This window comes from Homo sapiens, chromosome 7, assembly GCF_000001405.40.
Source record: "Homo sapiens chromosome 7, GRCh38.p14 Primary Assembly".
Classification (NCBI taxonomy): Eukaryota; Metazoa; Chordata; class Mammalia; order Primates; family Hominidae; genus Homo; species Homo sapiens.
The window spans coordinates 51,595,924-51,601,807 of NC_000007.14; the positions used below are offsets into that span (position 1 = coordinate 51,595,924).

At 41.9% G+C, this 5,884-nt stretch overlaps 1 pseudogene; it reads right to left on the reverse strand.

Moving 5' to 3' along the window:
- On the reverse strand, nt 4,373–4,649 carry ROBO2P1 (roundabout guidance receptor 2 pseudogene 1; annotated as a pseudogene).

Here is a 5,884-nt window from a genome sequence, read left to right on the forward strand (position 1 = left end):
ATACAATCATGTCATCTGCAAACAGGGACAATTTGACTTCCTCTTTTCCTAATTGAAAGCCCTTTATTTCCTTCTCCTGCCTGATTGCCCTGGCCAGAACTTCCAACACTATGTTGAATAGGAGTGGTGAGAGAGGGCATCCCTGTCTTGTGCCAGTTTTCAAAGGGAATGCTTCCAGTTTTTGTCCATTCAGTATGATACTGGCTGTGGGTTTGTCATAGATAGCTCTTATTATTTTGAGATATGTCCCATCAGTACCTAATTTATTGAGAGTTTTTAGCATGAAGCATTGTTGAATTTTGTCAAAGGCCTTTTGTACATCTATTGATAATCATGTGGTTTTTGTCTTTGGTTCTGTTTATATGCTGGATTGCATTTATTGATTTTCGTATGTTGAACCAGCCTTGCATCCCAGGGATGAAGCCCACTTGATCATGGTGGATAAGCTTTTTGATGTGTTGCTGGATTCAGTTTGCCTGTATTTTATTGAGGATTTTTGCATCAATGTTCATCAAGGATATTGGTCTAAAATTCTCTTTTTTTGTTGTGTCTCTGCCAGGCTTTTGTATCAGGATGATGCTGGCCTCATAAAATGAGTTAGGGAGGATTCCCTCTTTTTCTCTTGATTGGAATAGTTTCAGAAGGAATGGTACCAGCTTCTCCTTGTACCTCTGGTAGAATTTGGCTGTGAATCCATCTGGTCCTGGACTTTTTTTGGTTGGCCAGCTATTAATTATTGCCTCAATTTCAGAGCCTGTTATTGGTCTATTCAGAGATTCAACTTCTTCCTGGTTTGGTCTTGGGAGAGTGTATGTGTCGAGGAATTTATCCATTTCTTCTAGATTTTCTAGTTTATTTGCGTAGAGGTGTTTACAGTATTCTCTGATGGTAGTTTATATTTCTGTGGGATCAGTGTTGATATCCCCTTTGTCATTTTTTATTGTGTCTATTTGATTCTTCTCTCTTTCATTCTTTATTAGTCTTGATAGTGGTCTATCAATTTTGTTGATCTTTTCAAAAAACCAGCTCCTAGATTCATTGATTTTTTTTTGAAGGGTTTTGTGTCTCTATTTCCTTCAGTTCTGCTCTCATCTTAGTTATTTTTTGCCTTCTGCTAGCTTTTGAATGTGTTTGCCCTTGCTTCTTTAGTTTTTTTAGTTGTGATGTTAGGGTGTCAATTTTAGATCTTTCCTGCTTTCTCTTGTGGGCATTTAGTGCTACAAATTTCCCTCTACACACTGCTTTGAATGTATCCCAGAGACTCTGGTATGTTGTGTCTTTGTTCTCACTGGTTTCAAAGAACATCTTTATTTCTGCCTTCATTTCGTTATGTACCCAGTAGTCATTTAGGAGCAGGTTGTTCAGTTTCCATGTAGTTGAGCGGTTTTGAGTGAGTTTCTTAATCCTGAGTTCTAGTTTGATTGCACTGTGGTCTGAGAGACAGTTTGTTATAATTTCCGTTCTTTTACATTTGCTGAAGAGTGCTTTACTTCCAACTATGTGGTCAATTTTGGAATAAGTGTGGTGTGGTGCTGAAAAGAATGTATATTCTGTTGATTTGGGATGAAGAGTTCTGTAGATGTCTTTTAGGTCTGCTTGGTGCAGTGCTGAGTTCAATTCCTGGATATCCTTGTTAACTTTCTGTTTCCTTGATCTGTCTAATGTTGACAGTGGGGTGTTAAAGTCTCCCATTATTACTGTGTGGGAGTCTAAGTCTCTTTGTAGGTCACTAAGGACTTGCTTTATGAATCTGGGTGCTCCTGTATTGGGTGCATATATATTTAGGATAGTTAGTTCTCCTTGTTGAATTGATCCCTTTACCATTATGTAATGGCCTTCTTTGTCTCTTCTGATCTTTGTTGGTTTAAAGTCTGTTTTATCAGAGACTAGGATTGCAACCCCTGCCTTTTTTTCGTTTTCCATTTGCTTGGTAGATCTTCCTCCATCCTTTTATTTTGAGCCTATGTGTGTCTCTGCACGTGAGATGGGTTTCCTGAATACAGCACACTGATGGGTCTTGACTCTTTATCCAATTTGCCAGTCTGTGCCTTTTAATTGGAGCATTTAGCCCATTTACATTTAAGTTTAGTATTGTTATGTGTGAATTTGATCCTGTCATTATGATGTTCGCTGGTTATTTTGCTCATTAGTTGATGCAGTTTCTTCCTAGCCTCGATGGTCTTTACAATTCGGCATGTTTTTGCAGTGGCTGGTACTGGTTTTTCCTTTCCATGTTTAGTGCTTCCTTCAGGAGCTCTTTTAGGGCAGGCCTGGTGGTGACAAAATCTCTCAGCATTTGCTTGTCTGTAAAGTATTTTATTTCTCCTTCCCTTATGAAGCTTAGTTTGGCTGCGTATGAAATTCTGGGTTGAAAATTCTTTTCTTGAAGAATGTTGAATATTGGTCCCCACTCTCTTCTGGCTTGTAGAGTTTCTGCTGAGAGATGAGCTGTTAGTCTGATGGGCTTCCCTTTGTGGGTAACCTGACCTTACTCTCTGGCTGCCCTTAACATTTTTTCCTTCATTTCAACTTTGGTGAATCTGACAATTATGTGTCTTGGAGTTGCTCTTCTCAAGGAGTATCTTTGTGGCATTCTCTGTATTTCCTGAGTTTGAATGTTGGCCTGCCTTGCTAGATTGGGGAAGTTCTCCTGGATAATATCCTGCAGAGTGTTTTCCAACTTGGTTCCATTCTCCCTGTCACTTTCAGGTACACCAATCAGATGCAGATTTGGTCTTTTCACATAGTCCCATATTTCTTTGAGGCTTTGTTCGTTTCTTTTTATTCTTTTTTCTCTAAACTTCTCTTCATGCTTCATTTCATTCATTTCATCTTCCATCGCTGATACCCTTTCTTCCAGTTGATTGCATCGGTTACTGAGGCTTGTGCATTTGTCACGTAGTTCTTGTGCCATGGTTTTCAGCTCCATCAGGTCCTTTAAGGACTTCTCTGCATTGGTTATTCTAGTTATTCATTCGTCTAATTTTTTTTTCAAAGTTTTTAACTTCTTTGCCTTTGGTTCGAACTTCTTCCTTTAGCTCAGAGTAGTTTGATCTTCTGAAGCCTTCTTCTCTCAACTCGTCAAAGTCATTCTCCGTCCAGCCTTGTTCTGTTGCTGGTGGGGAGCTGCGTTCCTTTGGAGGAGGAGAGGTGCTCTGATTTTTAGAGTTTCTGGTTTTTCGGCTCTGTTTTTTCCCCATCTTTGTGGTTTTATCTACTTTTGGTCTTTGATGATGGTGATGTACAGATGGGTTTTTGGTATGGATGTCCTTTCTGTTTGTTAGTTTTCCTTCTAATAGTCAGGACCCTCAGCTGCAGGTCTGTTGGAGTTTACTGGAGGTCCACCCCAGACCCTGTTTGCCTGAGTATCAGCAGCGGTGGCTGCAGAACAGCGGATATTGGTGAACCGCAAATGCTGCTGCCTGATCGTTCCTCTGGAAGTTTTGTCTCAGAAGAGTACCCGGCCGTGTGAGGTGTCATTCTGCCCCTACTGAGGGCTGCCTCCCAGTTAGGCTACTTGGGGATTAGGGACCCACTTGAGGAGGCAGTCTGCCAGTTCTCAGATCTCAAGCTGTGTGCTGGGAGAAACACTACTCTCTTCAAAGCTGCCAGACAGGGACATTTAAGTCTGCAGAGGTTATTGCTATCTTTTGTTTGTCTGTGCCCTGCCCCTAGAGGTAGAGCCTACAGAGGCAGGCAGGCCTCCTTGAGCTGTGGTGGGCTCCACCCAATTCAAGTTTCCTGGCCGCTTTGTTTACCTGCTCAAGCCTGGGCAATGGCAGGCGCCCCTCCCCCAGCCTCGCTGCTGCCTTGCAGTTTGATCTCAGACTGCTGTGCTAGCAATGAGTAAGGCTCTGTGGGCATAGGACCCTCCGAGCCAGGTGCAGGATACAATCTCCTGGTGTGCCGTTTGTTAAGCCCGTTGGAAGAGCGCAGTATTAGGGTGAGAGCGACCCGATTTTCCAGGTGCCGTCTGTCACCCCTTTCTTTGACTAGGAAAGGGAATTCCCTGACCCCTTGCACTTCCCGGGTGAGAAGCCTCGCCCTGCTTCGGCTCACACACGGTGCGCTGCACCCACTGTCCTATACCCACTGTCTGGCACTTCCTAGTGAGATGAACCCGGTACCTCAGTTGGAAATGCAGAAATCACCCATCTTCTGCATCGCTCACACTGGGAGCTGTAGACTGGAGCTGTTCCTATTCAGCCATCTTGGCTCCGCCCCAAAAACAAGATAATTCTAATTTGTCACTGCTTACCATGAGTCATGAGTAACTGTCCTCATATGGCCCAGTTTTTAATGTTAGTAACACTTAAAAGCAAAGAAAAATTGATAAAAATAAAAATTTATAATTTAGAAGAAAGTTTTACCGAAAACAGTCAACTCTCCTGGGTCACTGTCCCTTTCTCCCACCATATTGGTACCAATACAAGTATACATCCCTGCATCACTTTTCCTGGTATTGGAGATCATCCGTTTTCCACCACGGATACTTATTGTTTCTTCCTTGTCATGAATTCGAACTTTGTCTTTTTTCCAGTAGATGGTGGGTTCTGGGTGTCCCTGGGGAGGCTGGCACTCCACGATTGCAGGCTCTCCAGCTGCCACTACAACATCTGTGGGGTTTTTTCAGAAATCATCTCGTAACACTCTGCAGTGAACTTGAAACACCAAAAGAAACAATCCAATCCCATTCTTTTATGTCTCTTAGACTATGTCCTGTGAGAGTCCTCTCTTCAGACCTTGAGAATTAATTCCTGCCACATGAAGTTGTACCACTGTCTCCTCCCTAGGCTGCTCTGCACCAGGCTGAGCCAGGTCCCAGTTCTTCCTCAGCCTCCCCATGTGTCTCTTATGTAGATGTTAGATCTTATATATCCATAGAGTATTGCAACTGCAGTATTGCAGTGTTCTTCATCTTCTAGTAGGTTTCACCTCCACCTCCATTCACATGCCCTACTCCATCATATGTTTAGGGGCATAGAAGATGGTTTAAGTGGCATAGTATTCACATTAACCAAGTTGTCGAGACCCCAAAGCGTACATGGGCAGAATGTCTCCCACTTGGATTTTGGAATGAATTCCTGGATCCTTTCTTCAGGTGAACTTGATTTCTAGCTCTTCTTTTACCATGGATTCAAATGGCTCATCCTTCTGGAACTAGCTAGGCAGCCTTTCTTTGTTCACAAGCACCTGATTCTATTATTTTCCTGGAACAAAGAACTAAACTTGATGGCCAAATTTTCTCCTCAGATTATTAAAATCCTAGTAACTGTTTACTTTGTATGCCTAGTACTCACCCAGAAAGCAAGACTGGCCCAGAACAGCTGGGACTTCATTTTTTAACATCTATGTACCCTTGGCTTCCACTTCCAGAGCTCTCTGGGGGAAATGGCTGAAGTTTTGGAAGTCTATACTAGATGACAGGGTGTGAAGTTTGTGTGAGGGACTATTTTGTCAAATTATTGTGGCTGTCACTTTCATGTTATGATTCAGAACTCAAAAGTCAAGTTCCTTTTGAAAATCGGTCAAACCACATGCTCTAGTATAAAGCAAACAGTAAAGGAGACAAATTCAAAATTGAAATTCAAAATTCCAACACTCAGTAAGACGTAAGCCAGAAATTAGTCATATTTGTGTTAATGCTAAATAAGCAATAGCACTTTTGGTATTGAATTAATATTGTACTTCATAGGGTATTTTTTTCTCTTACAAACAGGGGGCACTCTTAACTGTCCAATTTATGTTCTAAAAAAAACCCCAATGACTAATACTTAGGTTGTATTTACACAGCACTTTTGATTCAACTCTTTCACTCAGAATAGATTTGTGTTAGCCCCTTCCACAACATTAGCTACGAGGTCTCTCTGTTGCCCGAATGTAA